This window comes from Homo sapiens, chromosome 2 (assembly GCF_000001405.40).
Source record: "Homo sapiens chromosome 2, GRCh38.p14 Primary Assembly".
NCBI lineage: Eukaryota > Metazoa > Chordata > Mammalia > Primates > Hominidae > Homo > Homo sapiens.
This window is the reverse complement of record NC_000002.12, coordinates 1,589,939-1,608,049: the sequence shown is the minus strand read 5'-3', so window position 1 is coordinate 1,608,049 and position 18,111 is coordinate 1,589,939. Positions and strand designations below refer to the sequence as shown.

At 53.0% G+C, this 18,111-nt stretch overlaps 2 long non-coding RNA genes across 9 annotated transcripts in view, besides 7 other annotated features; one reads left to right on the top strand and one right to left on the bottom strand.

The window, feature by feature from the left end:
• Positions 1–18,111, top strand: part of LALTOP (lung cancer associated lncRNA targeting TOP2A) — a 140,518-nt gene that overhangs the window by 17,370 nt on the left and 105,037 nt on the right. The gene's annotated exons all lie outside the window — the stretch shown is intronic.
• Positions 2,534–3,327: an enhancer, noted in NCBI's record as "H3K27ac-H3K4me1 hESC enhancer chr2:1608495-1609288 (GRCh37/hg19 assembly coordinates)". NCBI's record gives its function as "activates a minimal SCP1, AML or CMV promoter by ChIP-STARR-seq in naive H9 embryonic stem cells {active_cell/tissue: H9 hESC(naive)}" and the evidence as "EXISTENCE:reporter gene assay evidence [ECO:0000049][PMID:30033119]".
• Positions 9,160–9,659: an enhancer, noted in NCBI's record as "H3K4me1 hESC enhancer chr2:1602163-1602662 (GRCh37/hg19 assembly coordinates)". NCBI's record gives its function as "activates a minimal SCP1, AML or CMV promoter by ChIP-STARR-seq in naive H9 embryonic stem cells {active_cell/tissue: H9 hESC(naive)}" and the evidence as "EXISTENCE:reporter gene assay evidence [ECO:0000049][PMID:30033119]".
• Positions 12,184–12,825: an enhancer, noted in NCBI's record as "H3K4me1 hESC enhancer chr2:1598997-1599638 (GRCh37/hg19 assembly coordinates)". NCBI's record gives its function as "activates a minimal SCP1, AML or CMV promoter by ChIP-STARR-seq in naive and primed H9 embryonic stem cells {active_cell/tissue: H9 hESC(naive and primed)}" and the evidence as "EXISTENCE:reporter gene assay evidence [ECO:0000049][PMID:30033119]".
• Positions 12,826–13,468: an enhancer, noted in NCBI's record as "H3K27ac-H3K4me1 hESC enhancer chr2:1598354-1598996 (GRCh37/hg19 assembly coordinates)". NCBI's record gives its function as "activates a minimal SCP1, AML or CMV promoter by ChIP-STARR-seq in naive H9 embryonic stem cells {active_cell/tissue: H9 hESC(naive)}" and the evidence as "EXISTENCE:reporter gene assay evidence [ECO:0000049][PMID:30033119]".
• Positions 14,718–17,164, bottom strand: LOC124907722 (uncharacterized). The gene is made up of 2 exons (XR_007086187.1): positions 16,648–17,164; positions 14,718–16,450 (listed from the first exon to the last, which is right to left on the bottom strand). It is a non-coding gene; the product is annotated as an uncharacterized LOC124907722 (long non-coding RNA).
• Positions 15,298–15,815: an enhancer, noted in NCBI's record as "H3K27ac-H3K4me1 hESC enhancer chr2:1596007-1596524 (GRCh37/hg19 assembly coordinates)". NCBI's record gives its function as "activates a minimal SCP1, AML or CMV promoter by ChIP-STARR-seq in naive H9 embryonic stem cells {active_cell/tissue: H9 hESC(naive)}" and the evidence as "EXISTENCE:reporter gene assay evidence [ECO:0000049][PMID:30033119]".
• Positions 15,816–16,335: an enhancer, noted in NCBI's record as "H3K27ac-H3K4me1 hESC enhancer chr2:1595487-1596006 (GRCh37/hg19 assembly coordinates)". NCBI's record gives its function as "activates a minimal SCP1, AML or CMV promoter by ChIP-STARR-seq in naive H9 embryonic stem cells {active_cell/tissue: H9 hESC(naive)}" and the evidence as "EXISTENCE:reporter gene assay evidence [ECO:0000049][PMID:30033119]".
• Positions 16,336–16,855: an enhancer, noted in NCBI's record as "H3K27ac-H3K4me1 hESC enhancer chr2:1594967-1595486 (GRCh37/hg19 assembly coordinates)". NCBI's record gives its function as "activates a minimal SCP1, AML or CMV promoter by ChIP-STARR-seq in naive H9 embryonic stem cells {active_cell/tissue: H9 hESC(naive)}" and the evidence as "EXISTENCE:reporter gene assay evidence [ECO:0000049][PMID:30033119]".

The window sequence follows — 18,111 nt, the reverse complement described above, 5'->3', positions numbered from 1 at the left end:
TTTTACCTTCCAAGATTATGACATGCCCGATGGCCGAGAGCCTGCTTGTGCTGGGAAAGAAAGGATCTTGGTGTTCTGATTATTCTTCCTAATGATGGTTCTAAATCAAACCCTAATGGCTGTATTTCTGCCAGACTGAGGGGAAGTATTTTAGATCAGTGCTACTCAACTTTATTGCACTTAGAAATCAATAACATCTAACATCTGCAGATCTCAAAAATGAATGTGGCCTCAACTATCAGCAACACTCAGTCCCTGGACAAACCAGAAGACTGGCCAAGCAGCTCTGGTGCATTCTCACTGCTCCCTTCCTCTCTGCCTGCCCAGACTCCTACACACTGCACCTGCATCTGGATTGGTCCACAGGGAACTTCCGTGGGTTGAGAGAACCCTGCTGTTGTGGGCACAGGATGTGAGGCCACAGGGGTCTTTTCTGTTGCTTTTGGTGGCTGGGGTGACCTCAGAGCCCATCCTCATCTTTCCTGTCCTTCATGGTCAACCCCAAGGGCCTCTCTCCCCAAAATTTCCTTCATTCCCTCTCTGGGAAAGGTCTCTGCCTGCTGTGAGCATTCTCGGACTTGCTCTGCCCTCCTTGGGGTTCCTTCTGATATGCCTTGGTTTCCCTCCCTGCCCTCTACCACCTGGATCTCTGCGAAGAATGCCTGGCCTGAGTCCTCCTCGAGCCGGGGTGCCCAGTTCCGCCAGGCTGTGTCCTGGCAGCTACACTTCAGTCTTCCCCTATTCTCAGTCCAGGTTGCTATGGTGGGGATGTTCGCCCCTGCTATGCCTCCAGGAAGAGCACATCACCAAAGGTGGTTCAAGTTTTTATCCAGGATTTTTTGGGGAAGTCTTAGGAAGCAGAAGACCCCTGTCTACTGGGACAGCCAACACTCAGGTTAACGTGCATGTGGATCTGCTGGGAGCCAACGTGTGGAGAGGGGTCTTGTGCGGAAGGTGAAGGCAATGAGGATGAGAGTAGGAAAGAGAGCCGGAAGGAGCAGAAAGGTGGAGGGGAGAAGCTGGTGCAGATGTGGGGCTAGAGATGGGAAAGAGATGGCAAACTTCAGAGAGAGAGAGGAGCGAGGGAGAAAGGAAGAGAGTCTGGGACCTACAGACACACTTTGAACATCTGGACCCAGCTGTCATTTCGAGCCTGCCCAGGAGCTTTGCATTATATGAGCCAACAGACTCATTTCCCTTTTTACTTAAGATCATTTCAGTGGGGTTTTCCATCCCCTATGCACACACGTCTCCCATTCCTGCTCTGCAGGATATAGCCCAGCATCTGCACCTCCTGCCACGTCCCACACGACCGGACTCTGCCCCTCCCCAGGCTGGTTTCCTGTGATTGCCCCTGCCTCCACTCAGATGCCCTTCCTCCTTTCAGGACCTCCCTCCAGGTGGACCTCCCACCGAGATGAACCTCTCACCCACGTGGACCTCCCACTCAGGTGTGCCTCCCTCTCAGGTCCTTTACACTCAGGTGTACCTCCGCCCCCCTTTCCAGCCTCAGCCTCCAGCCTTCCCTGAGTTCCCCACCACATTTGGTCAGAAGCACTCCTTGGTAGCCCAGGACTGGGTACAACGTGTATTGTGTACAAAGTGCTCAGTCCATGAAGGCGGCTGGACCCTCCCTTGGCATTTTGTGGGCTGTTGTATTAATTGGTGCAAGCTCTTACCCGTCATGTACTTTAATATCCCAGAGGGGGAAATTTGGGGTCCGCAGAGGGGTTGTTCCCTGTTTTAATGGAGTGTGAGTGAACACATGATAAAGGGAGCTGAACAGAACTCGGCGCAGGGTCCTCTGGACTCAGCACGCTCCGGAGTGTGGGCAGATGAGCAAGGAGAGCTGCACAGTTAGACTCAGGATCACCCAGGCCTTCCTTCGAACCCGCGTCTGCAGGTAGCTCTGTGGTGGTCAGCCAGGTCCTTCTGTGAGCCGGGCAAACCTTGAGTGCAGGATGGCTGTAGGAAGGCCCTTCGTTCTACGGAGCCCCTCGGCCGTCCCCTCCCACACATCCTCCCAGAGACAGGCAGGCGGAGCAGACTGCCCCAGTTTACAGATGGAGAAGCTGATGCTCAGAGGATGAGGCAGAGCCGTGGCCAGACAGGAATTCCTTTCTCTTTTTCTTGCTTGTCGCTGCGGGAAATGTGGATTGGCGTCGGCTGCTGTCTGGGGACTTTCCCCCAGGGCTGCCCCCATATTACCTCATCCTGAGACACCACGGGGAAGTGTGAGCGGTCCGCAGACTGGGTTTTGGTGATTTGGCCGGGTCGTGCCCTGTGTTTAGATGTGGGGCTAAGAGGCTTCCCGAGGATGGACAGATGGACATGCTGCAGCTTCCGGCCCAGGGCAGTGCCTGGCTGGTGGCAGCTGCTCAGATGGCGTTTGTTGCCTGTCTAATGAATCAATGCCCAGAAATAATCTTGGGCATCCAGCATCACTTTAAAGGTGCCGCTTTCAAGCGTATTTCCCACATAATCTAGATTTTGCCTGTTGTCACTTTTAAAAATTATATTGCCCTCTTCTTCACTTTCTTAAAGAGACAGACTCTGCTAAGCTGAATTGAATTATCTGTGGTGGCGACCGTTGAACAGCTCTTCCACACATGGGTGATGCTGAAGTCGTTCAGGCTGGGGGAGCTATTTGTCCCCATGTCAGGGCTACAGGCTGCCTGTGACGTCAGCACTGCCTCCTGCCCGGCGCGCAGAGGCCGCTCTCAGACAGCTTTCCTCACCGTTTTCCATGCCAGGAGGCCGCCTCTCCCCACCTGCTGTCCTGTGTGGGGCAGCGGCTTCCAGGCGCCGGGAAATGACTTCTCTGCCTCACTTCCTATGCAATTCCTGGAAGCAGACGCTGCCTCTCGTGATGTTTTTATCTTAGGCCCATGCAGAGTCCCTGTCACACGGGAAGTGGCCAGCCTGTGTTTGTGGAAGAAACAAACAAACAAAATCATTTATCCACCTCCACTTTCCAGCCGTCCTGTCTGCCAGGGGGGTACCAGACGCAGGCCCAGGAGTCCATTCGCCCCTTCTCAGCTGAGATGTGTCAATGTCGGTGACTCCGTCAGACCCTGTGGAATAGTGTCCACGTAAAATCTCAGAGAGTTAACAAGGCACAAGGATTTTAAAAAATGTGTATCTGTGTGTCTATGGGTCTGTGTGTCTCTGTGCCTGTGTGTTAAGTATGTACCTGCTGTCTGTGTATCTGTATGTGTGTCTGTGCATAAGTGTGTGTATCTGGGTCTTTGTGTCTTTGTGTCTCTGTGTGTGTTTGTGTGCGTGTAGGTGTATGTATGTGTCTTTGTGTGTGTCTATGTGTGTGTGTCTGTGAGTTTGTGCGTATGTCTGTGTATCTTTGTGTCTGTGTGTTGTGTGTGTGTAGGTGTGTATAAGTGCGTGTGTGACTGTGTATCTCTGTGTATCTGTGTGTGTATAGGTTGTATATGTCTCTGTGTATGTAGGTGTGTATTTGTGAGTTTTTATGTCTGTGTGTGTGTAGGTTGTATATGTATGTGTAGGTGTATATATATGTCTGTGTCTGTATGTGTGTGTGTCTGTGTATATGTTGTATATGTGTGTGTGTCTGTGTCTTTGTGTGTTTTTGTCTATGTCTGTGTATCTGTATGTGTGTCTTTCTAGGCTGTGTGTGTAGGTGTGTATATGTATCTTTGTGTGTTCATGTGTGTGTCTATGTCTATTGTGTGTGTATGTCTTTGTGTGTAGGTTGTATATGTGTGTGTAGGTGTGTATATGTATATATGTGTGTCTGGTTTTTTTTGTGTGTGTCTGTGTGTATATTGGTGTATATCTGCGTGTAGGTTGTATATGTATGTGTAGGTGTGTATATGTGTGTGTGTGTAGATTATATGTGTATAGTTGTGTATATGCGTGTGTGTTTGTGTGTGTGTATGTAGGTTGTATGTGTATGTCTGTGTGTGTATGTGTGTAGGTTGTGTATGCTTTGTCTGTGTGTGGGTTATATATGTATGTGTCTGTGTGTGTCTGTGTGTAGGGGTGTGTGTGTGTGTCTGTTTTGTGTGTATGTCTGTGTCTGTGTTTTTGTGTGTGTGTGTCTGTATGGCTGTATAGCTCTGTGTGTGTGTTTGTGTGTGTGTGTGTGTGTGTGTGTGTGTGTGTGTGTGTGTGTGCGGGTTTAGGTTCCTGACTGGGGTCTAAGAAGATGTCGTTGTTGGACAAGAGGTCTGGGGCTTACTCACTCATTGGAAAGTTCTGTGGGCACGTGCAGCCTTTCCTGTCACGGCCATCCCTGCTTAGCCCCCGGGGCCCACGGGGGACCCCGTCTTTGGGATGGGGATCGGCGGGGGGATCCTCTGCGTGTTTGCACATTCAGGACCTGCAGTGTCCTTGTTGGATGCTCCGCCCTGGCATGGGGGCTCACTAACTGAGAGCTTGGGCAGAACGACAGCTGTTGTAACACCCTCTATCGACAATTTGAACAGGTTGGACAACCCTGTTGTCCAATCTAGTTACAATGTATTTTCCTGACAGTGAAAATACGAAGAACGAGTACATTTGATTCCTAAGGCGGTCTAAGTTAGTAGGTGTGGTAGCTGATTCAGACCATCAAAACAACCCCACACTCGCGTCTGTTACGTTCTCTCTACCTGACGCCTTGGAGAGTCGGGCACCATGTCAGGCAGCATCTGTGTGCAGAAGGCACAGGTCCAATGGCAGCCCCAGCCTGGCTGATTTGGTGGAAAATCCAGCGAACCCAGGCACAGGCAACCAAGGCCGAGGGTGCTCCCAGGTGTGCCGATGACCCCGTCTGCTCCTGTGACTTGGGAGGCGTCACCACACTGAGCCGGAGAGGAGCAGCACCTCCGCTCTCTGGACGGTGCAGGGGTCTCCCCAGCTCGCCCCAGCAGACGGGACCTGTGGAATCTATTTTGATGAGAACTTAGCAGATGGTGCTAAGTTCAGTAGTACTGGGGTTTGGTGTGGGAAATTCACTTTCTTCCTTAAAATCTTGTTCTAAGTTTTTTCTTAATTCCTTCTGGTGACATTTTTTGTACCGATATCACCCATGGGTTGCCCTTGGGAAGAATCCAGGGATGGGGTGAGGTTATGGTGAGAAGACGGAGATTCCAGCACACTGGAGACCCTGGGGGAGGAGCGGGGAAGGGCCTTGAACCTGGGCCCCTGCGGCAGCCTGGGGCCTGGTGGGCTGACCTCCCAGAGTGACCTGGACAGGGAAGCATGACCCGACAGCACGGGGCAGGCGCTTAGCTGCGTAGACTCCACACAGCCTCCATTTGCTGTGTGACTCTCGGAAAGCTGCTTAGCCTCTCTGAACTTTGGTTATGTCGTCTGTAAAGTAAAGATAATGATTTCTAGTCTAGGATTATCTTCAGATTCAATGACACAGTTGTGGGATACTTAGTGCAATGCCCAGTAAATAATCCATTATTCTCATGGTCATCATCCCCTCTGTTCTGTCGGGTTCATGCACGTTCCTGCTCCTCCCCTTTCCCCTCTCACGCTGTCCTTGTAAGCAGGTGGCCGATTCCACTTCAGCACCAAAGGGGAGAAAACAGCTGGCCCAAAGCTCAGGAGTCCTGCTTTTTTTTTTTCTCTTGCCTGTGATTTTCCAAAAGCCTAGATCCTTATGAGGATTTAGAGCACTTTAGGAGAAGGTACAAGGCAGAAGAGGCAGAGGGCCAAGCGAGGAGCAGCCTGGCCTAGAAGAAATGTGAGCATCTGGGTGGGAAATGAGAGGGGCTGTCCAGGGAGCGGAGAGAACCCTGGAGGCCCGAAGCGAAAGGGCCGGGGGCAGCTGAGAGCGTCCTGCGTCGGGTGGGTGGGGAGGAACCCTCTCCCTGACTCCTCATGCTGGCTTCCATCCCGGGCGCCTGACATGACCCTGATTGAACGCAGGGACAGGATCTACAGGGATTGAAGCGGGTTTCCGCTCATGCAGAGGGTGTCGTTGGCTTATAGAAAATAACGGCAGAGGTCAGTTCTTGCACACCCACTCCTGGGCATAGAAATCCATCCCTGCACGTTTTAAATTACGTCATAGTCTTCATATTGCTCCTTCAAACCCACGTTCATTTCAGTGAATGCCACCTTTTCTGTCCAGCTGCAGAATGTGCTCACCTGTCTTTCCGACCACTGCCTCGTGTCCTCTTGCCTCTCTGAACCTTGTGCTCCCAACCACTCTCTGCTCTGCTGCCCACATGATCATTCTAAGAAGCAAAACACATTACACAATTTCCCTGCTTCACATCGGCTGAGTCCAAAGAATGAGTACAAGGGGCATCGTAGCTTGGCCTTGACCCCTCTGCAGCCCAGCTGGTTCCATTCCCCGAGGCCTCAGGGGCTTCCACACTCGGCCATGTCTGCCAGGGACACCCTCCACCCACTCCCCATAGTCAGCGGACAAAGCCTCATTTATCCCGGAAGGCCCAGCTCCGAGACCAAGTGCTCGGTGAAGCCTTCCCCAGCTTTGCTGAGCTGAAGAGGCTGTACCCATCCCTGGCAAACCCAAACCTTCCCTCTTTCTCAAAAGGCACCTGGGGAACCCCGTTTTTCCCAGGGGTGTTCAGGGAGGAGGAGGAATGCCTGCCAGCACCAGGGGCCCTGGGTCTGCTACACACTGGGCCAGACAATTATCTATCCACCCAGATAATTATTTTAAAGTACATATTTACATAGAACATGTTTATGCAAATATCTATAATATAAACTGATAAATATTTATAGAGGTATGTTCACTTGTAGTAGACACTTCTCTGTATGTGCATATTTACATTTGTAATCCAAGCCTTACGACACAACCAGGGCAAGTGCAGGAGGCTCCCCCGAGTGGAGGTGGAGGAACAAGTGTCCTGAAGGGAGCTGGCACCATGGGCAGTGTCTGGGAGCCTCAGCCACCTTTGGGTGGAGTGTTGGACAGTCCTGGAGGGAGCTGGCACCACGGGCAGCATCTGGGAGCCTCAGGGCACCTCCGGGAGGAGCGTTGGACAGTCCTGGAGGGAGCTGGCACCACGGGCAGTGTCTGGGAGCTTCGGGGCACCTTCGGGTGGAGCGTTGGACAGTCCTGGAGGGAGCTGGCACCACAGGCAGCGTCTGGGAGCCTCGGGGCACCTCTGGGTGGAGCGTTGGACAGTCCTGAAGGGAGCTGGCACCACGGGCAGCGTCTGGGAGCCTCGGGGCACCTCTGGGTGGAGTGTTGGACAGGAAGCCGGGAGGAGGCTTGTTTGGATTTCTGGCCTGTTTCCCCAGCACCATGTTTAGACCCTGGTAAACAAATGACTAAGCCCTTAGACTGCCTCTTCCATCTCCAGGTCTCATGTGGGGTCACAGCTTCTCCCTAAGAACGGCTAAGGAGGTCACGGCAGGTCAGCTATGGCTTGGACTTTGGACTTAGCAGGCCTGACATCACCGGGTTAGGGGGCACACACACAATGACGTCACCTCCAGATGTGGGGCCCTGTGGATCCCTGCACGTCTGTGGTTTGCAGGCTGATGAGCCGGGTTTTTTCTGGGAAGGCAAATCTTCCACATCTGGGAAGAGTCCGATGCACACAGAGCGCCCTTCCCCTGCTCGTTCATCAGCAGATGCGACGCTGCTGACCATCCTTGCTGGAAATGGTCAGCAGATGATGGAGGAACAGGCCCCGGGGGTCCCAGGCCCAGCTCCGTGAATAAGCCCCATCCTCATGAGCAACACAGATCCATGCCTCCCCGAGACCAGGGGCTCCTGAGGGCACAGGCCGCGGCTCATCCACTCACAGTATTGTTTTTAAAGTCCAGCTCTCATCCCGGGGCCCAGCACAGTTCCTGACATGCGGGAGTGTCAGTCAGCACTTGTCCAATCTCTCATCCTTGAACACATATTTATTGAGGGCAATGTTCTAGGCACTGGCGATGCCTCAGTGAGCAAAACAGACCCTGCCCCAGAGAACTTCCCTTCTAGTCAGGTGGGTGTGGAGGGACAGGTGGCAATCAGTTAACAATAAGCATCATCAATACTAACATCACATCGAATGCTGGAAGATGATATGTGTTATGGAAAAAGACGTTGAACAGGGTGAGGGCCCCAGGGAATTGGAGGGTGGTGGGGTGAGCTAGGTGCGGGGTTAAACCAGGTGGTCGGGGGATCGGAGGAGTGTGGCATGCACAGAGCTGCGGAGGAGACTTGCTGGCAGAGGGAAGGGGCAGGCAAAGGCTGTGGCAGGGAGACCCCTGAGCTGGGTGAGCAGGGAGCAGCAGGAAGAGGAGGGGCCAGGGCACAACACAGTTGGGCCCTCCAGGGCATCCCAGGCCACTGTGAAGACGGCTTATCCTGCCAGTGGAGAAGGAAGGCTTTGCTATTCTTAAGCCAAAGAGTGAAATGCCCTGGTTTGGGTTTGGTGACAGAGCAGAGGGCAGAGGCCATGAGCAGAGCTATCATGAGCGACCTTGAGCCAGTGCCTCATCCTGGGTGCCTGGAGAATAAGCTTCTCCCCAGGAGGGCTGCAGCCAAGCTCACTGAAGACATGGGAATCGCACTGCTGTTTCTGTTTCTCTTGTCCTCGTGGTCCCATGACTTTGCCAGCAGACTTTGCAGTACCCGGAGCTGGGAGGTGGCAACTCCTCTGGCCAGGAGACGCCGTCCACGGCCACACGGGATGGGGGACAGGCCAGGGCACCTCTCTTCTCCTCCTGAATCTTGTTAGTTTCACCTCGTACAATGCGTCTTGTTCCTTAATGCTCACCCTGAAATGCTGTGGGATTCAGTCCCCAAAATCATGCACAGTAGTTTTGAAGGTAGAATCAGCATGATTTCTAACTGGTTAAGTGAACTTTATTAGAGAAAGAGAGGGGCCAAGAAAGGCTCCAAAGCTGATGGCCTGAGCAGCTGGAATGAGATGCTCACCAGATTCACCACCTACTGAGGCAGAGAAGGCAGTTCCCAAGCCCCCTTCCCAAATCCGGAAGGGGCCCTGGTGCCCTCTGGTGAGATGAGACCATTTCTTTACATAGTTAGGAAAGTGAGCCTGGAGCCAGGTGCCAGGCTCCATCTCGGAGGGACACAGCCAGCCCTGGGAAGGCGCGTCTACTCCCCAGATGACCTTCTCCTAACTTTATGAGCCGGTGAAACGAATTTGATGGGCTTAGTGAGCTCGGATCTGATTTTCGTCAACAACTTTGAGGACAATCCTCATTTTCAGGAGATTCTGAGGTTCCCTTTGCTCAATGACTTTTCTAAGTTCACCGAGCGAGGCTGACAGCTGGGCTTCTGCCTGCAAATCCATGTTTGTTCTGATGGAGCTTGACAGCATAGACCTGCTCAGATACAGACTCTCCAATGCTGCCTACAAGCCCTGAGGAGTGGGGACCAGAGGAGGCATCACGGGATCTCCCAGGGCCAGGCCAGGGAACACCTGGAGGTTCTGAGACTCAGGGGAAGCTTTGACACCAAAGATGCCGCCGAGAGTGGGGAGCCCAGAGGGTGTGCAGGGCCACGCAGCCGGTGCCTGCATGTGTGTGTCTGTGATCTCTTTGTGTGTATGATCTCTGTGTATGCATATGATCCGGTGCCTGGTGCAGCCTCCGCGTGCTCAGCTTCTGCTGTGGGTGCCCTGCCCTGGGGCCCAGCCCGGTTTGGGACGTGAGAGACTCGAGGGTGCTCTGTGCCCATCAGCTGCCTGGCACCTCCCTCGTTGGCTAGGAGTCAGCAAGGCCTGTTTTCCGCATTGCCTATTTCCCACTTTCCTGGGACAGCTGTGTCTGCAGTCGTCACCAAAGGCACGGATGGTGTCCAGCTCCTCAGCCCTGACCCCACAGGGACCTCCTCCCACTCCTGGGGCAGTGGTTGCCACCAGCTTGCTGTGTCCCAGCGCAGGGGCAGCACCCTCCTTCCCCTCTGCACGCCGTCCTGCAGGCATCTCTTCACTTCCCCAACTCTTAGAGCTGCAAGTCGTCACAAAAAGGAAGATTGAAAGGCAGGAGGCTGTGTGTCTGCATGTGCACCTGCGTGTGTATGATTGTGTGTGCATGTGTATGTGTGTGTGATCTGTGTGTGTATGATCTCACTGTACGCATATGATCTCTGCATGTGTGTGTGTCTGTGATTTCTATGTGTGTGAATGTGTATGCATGTGTGTGCATGTGTGATCTCTGTGTGTGTGCATCTGTGGTGTGTGTGTTTGCGTGTGTGTCTGATCTGTGTGTGTGCATCTGTGGTGTGTGTGTTTGCATGTGTGTGTCTGATCTGTGTGCGTGCATCTGTGGTGTGTGTGTTTGCGTGTGTGTGTCTGATCTGTGTGCGTGCATTTGTGGTGTGTTTGCATGTGTGTGATCTGTGTGTGTGCATCTGTGGTGTGTGTGTTTGCATGCGTGTGTCTGATCTGTGTGCGTGCATCTGTGGCGTGTGTCTGATCTGTGTGTGTGCATCTGTGGTGTGTGTGTTTGCGTGTGTGTCTGATCTGTGTGTGTGCATCTGTGGTGTGTGTGTTTGCGTGTGTATGTGTGATCTGTGTGCTCGCATCTGTGGTGTGTGTGTTTGCGTGTGTGTCTGATCTGTGTGTGCTTGCATGTGTGTGTCTGATCTGTGTGTGCGCATCTGTGCTGTTTGCATGTGGGTGTGATCTGTGTGTGTGCATCTGTGGTGTGTGTGTTTGCATGTGTGTCTGATCTGTGTGTGTGCATCTGTGGTGTGTGTGTGTCTGATCTGTGCGTGTGCATCAGTGGTGTGTGTGTGTCTGATCTGTGCGTGTGTATCTGGTGTGTGTGTTTGCGTATGTCTGATCTGTGTGTGTGCATCTGTGGTGTGTGTGTTTGCGTATGTCTGATCTGTGTGTGTGCATCAGTGGTGTGTGTGTTTGCGTGTGTGTGTCTGATCTGTGTGTGTGCATCTGTGGTGTGTGTGTTTCCATGAGTGTGTCTGATCTGTGCGTGTGCATCTGTGGTGTGTGTGTTTGCATGAGTGTGTCTGATCTGTGCGCGTGCATCTGTGGTGTGTGTGTTTGCATGTGTCTGATCTGTGTGCTTGCATCTGTGGTGTGTGTGCGTGTGTGTCTGATCTGTGTGCGTGCATCTGTGGTGTGTGTGCGTGTGTCTGATCTGTGTGCGTGCATCTGTGGTGTGTGTGTTTGCGTGTGTGTGCCTGATCTGTGTGTGTGCATCTGTGGTGTGTGTGTTTGTGTGTGTGTGTCTGATCTGTGTGAGTGCATCTGTGGTGTGTGTGTTTGCATGTGAGTGTGTGTGCATCTGTGGTGTGTGTGTGTGTGTCTGATCTGTGTGTGTGCATCTGTGGTGTGTGTGTTTGGGTGTGTGTGATCTGCGTGTGTGTGTGCATCTGTGGTGTGTGTGTTTGCATGTGTGTGTCTGATCTGTGTGTGTGCATCTGTGGTGTGTGTGTCTGATCTGTGTGCATGTATCTGTGGTGTGTGTGTTTGCGTGTGTGTCTGATCTGTGTGTGTGCATCTGCAGTGTGTGTGTTTGCGTGTGTGTCTGATCTGTGCATCTGTGGTGTGTGTGTTTGCATGAGTGTGTCTGATCTGCGTGCTGGTATCTGTGGTGTGTGTGTTTGCGTGTGTGTCTGATCTGTGTGTCTGCATCTGTGGTGTGTGTGTTTGCATGTGTGTGTCTGATCCGTGTGCTCGCATCTATGGTGTGTCTGCATGTCTGTGTCTGATCTGTGTGCATCTGTGGTGTGTGTGTTTGCGTGTGTATGTGTGATCTGTGTGCTCGCATCTGTGGTGTGTGTGTTTGCTTGTGTGTGTCTGATCTGTGTGCTCGCATCTGTGGTGTGTGTGTTTGCTTGTGTGTGTCTGATCTGTGTGTGTGCATTTGTGCTGTTTGCATGTGTGTGTGATCTGTGTGTGCATCTGTGGTGTGTGTGTTTGCGTGTGTCTGATCTGTGTGCATGCATCTGTGCTGTGTGTTTGTGTTTGTGCGTGTGTCTGATCTGTGTGTGTGCATCTGTGGTGTGTGCGTGTGTGTGATCTGTGTGCGTGCATCTGTGGTGTGTGCGTGTCTGTGTCATATCTGTGTGTGTGCATCTGTGGTGTGTGTGACTGTGTGTGATCTGTGTGCGTGCATCTGTGGTGTGTGTGTTTGCATGTGTGTGATCTGTGTGCGCGCATCTGTGGTGTGTCTGATCTGTGTGTCTGCTTCTCTGTTGTGTGTGTTTGCATGTGTGTGTCTCATCTGTGTGCTCTCCTCTGTGGTGTGTGTGTTTGCATGTGTGTGTCTGATTTGTGTGTGTTCATCTGTGGTGTGTGTTTGCGTGTGTCTGATCTGTGTGCGTGCATCTGTGTTGTGTGTGTTTGCGTGTGTGTGTCTGATCTGTGTGCGTGCGTCTGGTGTGTGTGTTTGCGTGTGTGTGTCTGATCTGTGTGCTCACGTCTGTGGTGTGTGTTTTTGCGTGTGTGCGTCTGATCTGTGTGCGTGCATCTGTGGTGTGTTTGCTTGTGTGTGTCTGATCTGTGTGCTCGCATCTATGTTGTGTGTGTTTGCGTGTGTGTGTCTTATCTGTGTGCTTGCATCTGTGGTGTGTGTGTTTGCATGTGTATGTGTGATCTGTGTCCTCGCATCTGTGGTGTGTGCGTGTGTGTGTCTGATCTGTGTGCTCGCATCTGTGGTGTGTTTGCGTGTGTCTGATCTGTGTGCGTGCATCTGTGGTGTGTGTGTTTGCGTGTGTGTGTCCGATCTGTGTGCTCGCATCTGTGGTGTGTGTGTTTGCATGTGTATGTGTGAACTGTGCGAATCTGTGGTGTGTTTGTATGTTTGTGTCTGATCTGTTTGCATGTATCTGTGCTTTCTGTGTGTGCATGTCCATGGCCCATGCATGTGCCTATGCGTGCACGTGTTTGTGCTCTGTGTCGTGTGCCTGTATTTACGTGAGTCGTTTGGTAGGAGGCTGCAGCTCAATGCTGCTGTGCGCTCCATCTCTGGGCCCTGCACAGAACCCCGGGGGGCTTCCTCCCTCACGGGCCCCCCCTCCGGGAACACTGCCAGCCTCCTGCCTGCTGTGTGCAGCCCTGTGGACACACGGACAAGAGCCACTGTCCCCACCCACAAGTCTGCCCTGGTCAGTGGGGCAAATGAAAATGTCCGTCCTGATCACAGAGTAGGCTCAGGTGCAGGGATGGGCTGCCCAGCGTGTCCAGGAGAAGAGGGCAGTAAGCTCTCAGCAAGGGATGCTCTGGAAGCTTCCTGGAGGGTGAAATGTCTGCTGAGCTGAGGTCTTGGAGAGAAGTGGACGCTAGCCTGCGGGGTGGGAGACCAGGGGGCAGCAGAGCCTGGTGCAGGGCCTGAGGCTGGGCCTGTGTGCTGCGCGTACCGGGTGCTGTGTCACAGGCCTGGGAGGATCCCACTGTGCTGAAGCGCTCACAGTTTAAAGGACCTTCTGGCGGCTTCGCGAAGAGCAGAATGAGAAGGGGCTGGGGTGGCCGTGGGAGGGAGGCGGGCCAGAAGGCCTCGTTTGAGGATGAGAATAAAAGACGAAGGCAGAGGTTGGAGAGATGCGGCTTCCAGCCCAGGAGCACTGGGGTGTGCAGGGGCGGGTCCCCAGGTGCTCGTGGAGCAAGGGGACCTCGTGTCTCAGGTCTCAGCTCAGCCCGGTTGTTGTTTCCGTGGCAGCCAGCCCTCAGGGCCTGTCTGCAGGAGCTGCCCCTCGGTTCAAGCACCAGCGGTAGAAGCCTCTTCCTTTTCTAGGCGTTCCTGAAGCACCAAGCTCAGCAAAATTCCCTCTCTCCTTGTTCATTATGAGTCGGTGTGCTGTGGTGGGAAAACAGTCTTTGGAGGTTTTTGTTTGAGGCCATTTACTATGATGTCGTTTGACACTTTATCTCTTTGGACCTCCTTTCTCTACAACTTGTATCTGTGGATTCCTACGGACCTGAAAGGCTCTAGATGCCGAGCTGATGGCCTTTGGCTGACGTTCAGGAAACTTCAGATGAAACGTTAAGTGCCCGAACCACAACTTAAGCAGATGTGTGAGTCAGAACCCTTATTGTCAGTGACAAAACCTCAGTTCAAAGGAACAGAGATGGGAGTGGGGCCCAGGCCTCGTCTCTGCTTCTCCCCGCCATTGGCTTGGGCCTCTCCGCCAGGCCCCTCTGCTCGGCTGGGAACAGGACTCCTGGCGGGTCCCAGCAGGCGACATCTGGCTCTTGGCAGCAAGTCCAGGATTCTCTGTGGCCAGATGCCTGCTCACAGCCCCAGGGAGGGGCAGCAACCTGGCGGCCTGAGTCAGTGCCTGCGGCTGGGCTGGTCACTTGTGGAGTCTGTAAGATGACAGCAGCTTTTATGCAAAGCACATGCTGGAGTGTCAGGGCTCTTCCTCACAGCAAGGGCTCTTCCCAGAGGACAGGGATGCTGTAGGCATCGTGAGAGGCCTGGACGGAGCAGATGTGCAGCGAATCCAGCTTCCTCTGTCACCTGCCTTGGTCACTCGGCAGCTGTGACAACCACAGCAGATGGGGCTTACAAGCTGCAGACACTCGTCTCTCTGCTCTGGGGGCTGAAGTCCAAGACCAAGGCCCAGTGGGTTTGGTGTCTCGTGAGGACTGCTTCTTATTTCACAGACCTCTCCTGGGGGAAGGGGTGAGGGTCTCTCTGGGGTCTCTTAGAAGGGCACAGATCCACCCATGGGCTCCACACCATGACCTCATCACCTCCCAAAGGCCCCCAGCTCCTGGAACCATCACCTGGGGAGTCAGACACTTTGAGGGATACTGACGTGAAGGCCAAGGCACCGCTTTGCATTTTAAGGTTTATTGTGTTTATAAACCACAGGCACATTTTTTTTGTTTTTACCACAATGGAGCATAGCTTCTTTACAGGAAAGGTGTAATAACAGTATGACGTTTGCCTACTGTTAGAATAACTAACTAGTCATTTAGGTTTGTTCACTTTTTAAATTATTTTGCCCTCCACCATTTTAATTTTTTGCTTTTTTTTTTTTTTTTTTGAGACGGAGTCTTGCTCTGTCGCCTAGGCTGGAGTGCAGTGGTGTGATCTTGGCTCACTGCAACCTCCATCTCCTTGGTTCAAGTGATTCTCCTGCCTCAGCCTCCTGAGTAGCTGGGACTACAGGTGCCTGCCACCACGCCCAGCTAATTTTTGTTTGTTTGTTTGTTTTGGTATTTTTAGTAGAGACGGGGTTTCACCATGCTGGTCAGGCTGGTCTCGAACTCCTGACCTCGTGATTTGCCTGCCTTGGCCTCCCAAAGTGCTGGCATTACAGGCATGAACCACCACGCCCAGCCATTTTTTTTTTTTTTGCTCTTTTACTGCATTTAATGTGATGTCTATTTCGTGAGCAATAGTGAGTGTTAGGAAACTCAAAAGCCTTTTCTCCAGTTTTGCCCAAAGTATTCCCCATGAGTGTGGAATTATTACTAAGTGCTACTTTTGATGGGAAATATTGGCGACCTGAGCTATCCATCACCTTGACTGACGTCTTTGGTCCTGCCAAGGTCTTCTGGAACCTTCCAGCGTGTGGTGGGGTAGGGGTGCTGTTTCTGTTAGGAGGCTGGTGTGTCTTGCCCTCGAGTTCTTGGAAGTGTTTCTTAACATCTGCCAATAGCTGGGGCAGTTTATCCTGAAATTATCCTGAACCAGCAGTGCTTGCTCTTTGGGCCAATTTTTTTTTTCTAGGCTCCTTTGCATCTTATCAGGGGGAGTTTTCCTCCCCCTGATAAGTTTCTGGTCTGTGTTGCTTTCCCACACTTGAGAATACTCATCTGTTGTGAGACAGATGGAATTTCTGCCCCCAGCTGGGACCACTGGGAACCAACCCGGAGGCCGCTTCCCACTCTCCCCTCCCAGCAGGGCAGCCTGCGGGCTTAGGGGCCGCGCTCGCACAAACGGGCCAGGCTGGCTTCTCTTCCACCACGCGCGGTCCTCTGTGCATCCTGTAGTCCCAGCGCCAAGGCACCCTGGTGGTGCAGCAGGAAAAACCACCACCCAGATGCGAGCCCAGGCGCCGTGTTGGGGGTGGCCAAGGCCACAGCGCCCTCATCTGGGATTTGGGATGAGGACGCGTGGGATAGCAGCAGGCAATGCTCTTGTTGGCGCAGCAAAGCCGGAGATGGCCGAGCCTCACTGCAGCCCAGACCCGGCCCCCGAGCCTCAGGCCCAGCCGCTACCTGACGTCTCCCTGTGAAAACCCGAGGAGTGGGTCACCACCACGCACCTGCGAGGAACCTCTGGATTCTCCTCCAGCCCCTCCACCTGCCCCGGCTGGTGCTTCCATTTCAGCCTGGGTGCGTGTGTGAAGTTAGAGGTCAGGATCCGTGTTCGTCAGGTTAGCGGACGTGTGCTGGCAGCTGCGGCAAATAAATGACCAGCATCACGCACCGCGGGCTTGCTCCCCCCTCGTTCCCTTCTGTTCAGGCTGGGCGCTCGCAGGGACAACGCTCCTCCACGTTTGCCAGGACCTGGGCTCCATCCCCGGCGTGGAGCTGAGTCCTGCCGGCTGGGCTTCCTCCTGCAAAGGCCAGAGAGGTGCACAGTGGGCAACCGGCCCAGCTGGCCTAACCTGGCCGGAAATGACACATGTGACCCATTCACAGTCCAGCACCCACAAGGCAGGCCCCGCCTGGCCGTGGAGTGTGGCTGGAACACAGGCCTGCCTGCAAGGTGCCTTTAGGCTTGTCCCCTTCATAACCACAGAATGTAACATACCAGTCAATTCCGCAGGATTTTCTCCAAGATGCCTCTTGAACATCTGCATTTCTCCCCGCATTCTCTGCCCGGCTGCCCGGTGTCCCCTCCTCCACTCTGCCATTTCTCTGACTTTCCTCTCTTTACAGAAGACATTCTGCAGTGGTCCTCAGCTGGAGGCATCGTGCCCCCAGGGGACACTGGACATGCCCGGATCTGTTATTTGTCATTGTAACTAAAGAGGGAGCGCCTGCTCCCAGTGCAGGGAGGGCAGAGATACAGCAGCACCTCCCGCATCCGTAGGCCTGGCAGGTATCCCGGCCAACACAACAGGCAGAATTCAGGGGGCAGCCCCTGGGCTAGCTCATTTTCTCTCAGCGCCCCCCAGTGACTTCTTACTGCTTAAAGAATAAAATCTGCAATCTTTTCTCGGATCTACAAGCCCCTGCCTTGTGGGCTTCTCCCACTCCAACTCTGTTGACTTCCCTGCCATGCATGAGGTGCCGTCTAGTCTACGCAGCTTTCTCAGGTGGCACGTGGCTGGATGGGATTCAGAACCTCTGGGTCTGCCAAGACCTCTGCCTGGAGAGCCTATCTGCGGCTGGGCCCTCACCATCTGCACAGCCCTGCTTGGCAGTCCTTCCTCCTGCAGACCTTCCGGTCCAAGCTGCCTTCCTCCTGCTTCTGTGCTTTGTGTCCTGGTCATTTCCTTTGCAGCATTTAGGCCAAGCAGAATCATCTGCCGGATTTATTTGTTTACTTGTGTTGCACTAGTGATTGAGTTCAGCTGCTGATTTCCCAAAGAACAGTGGATTATTACAATAGAAACCCCAGGAACAGTCACTTTTATAAAAATACATTTTTCACTCATAAATCTGGGGGTGGGAGTGTCAGGCTGGTTTGGCAGCCCCATGTTTCTGCTGCACTGGGCCCTGTGCTCATGTCCTCATGGAGGCTGCTGGAGCTCCTGCCATTGTTTATTCGTTTCAGGCAGCAGGAAGAGACAAGGTCCAAGAGCAAAGTGGTGCCTGTTGGTTGGGTTTGTCCCCCTTTTAAGACAGTCTATAGCAATCCCTCCACAAAGCTTCCACCTACCTCTCTCTTGCCAGAGTATGACATGGGCTATTCCTGTCTGCAACACGGACTGAGAAAGACAAGTTTTCAGATGTGCAAATTGCTGCCTGGGAAATAGCAAACACAGGTCTTATTAGTAAGAAAAAAGAAAATGGCCACAAATTGTTTTTGTCTGGATTTCTGTCTGAAATTTATGCTCTCAGAAGAGAGAGTTTGAATTGTTCCCCCCTAGATCTCTGGCACTTCACACAGTGTCTGGAACGTGGCAAATTCTCAGTTAACCTTTGTTAGAGTCAAAGTAGATTTCTCATCTGCCTCTGTGGGTTTTTCACTCAAGACTCCAATACAGCCTCAGAATTCTCTGCACACAGGCAGTCAGACTTGACACTAGGGATTGCGATTTTTTCACCA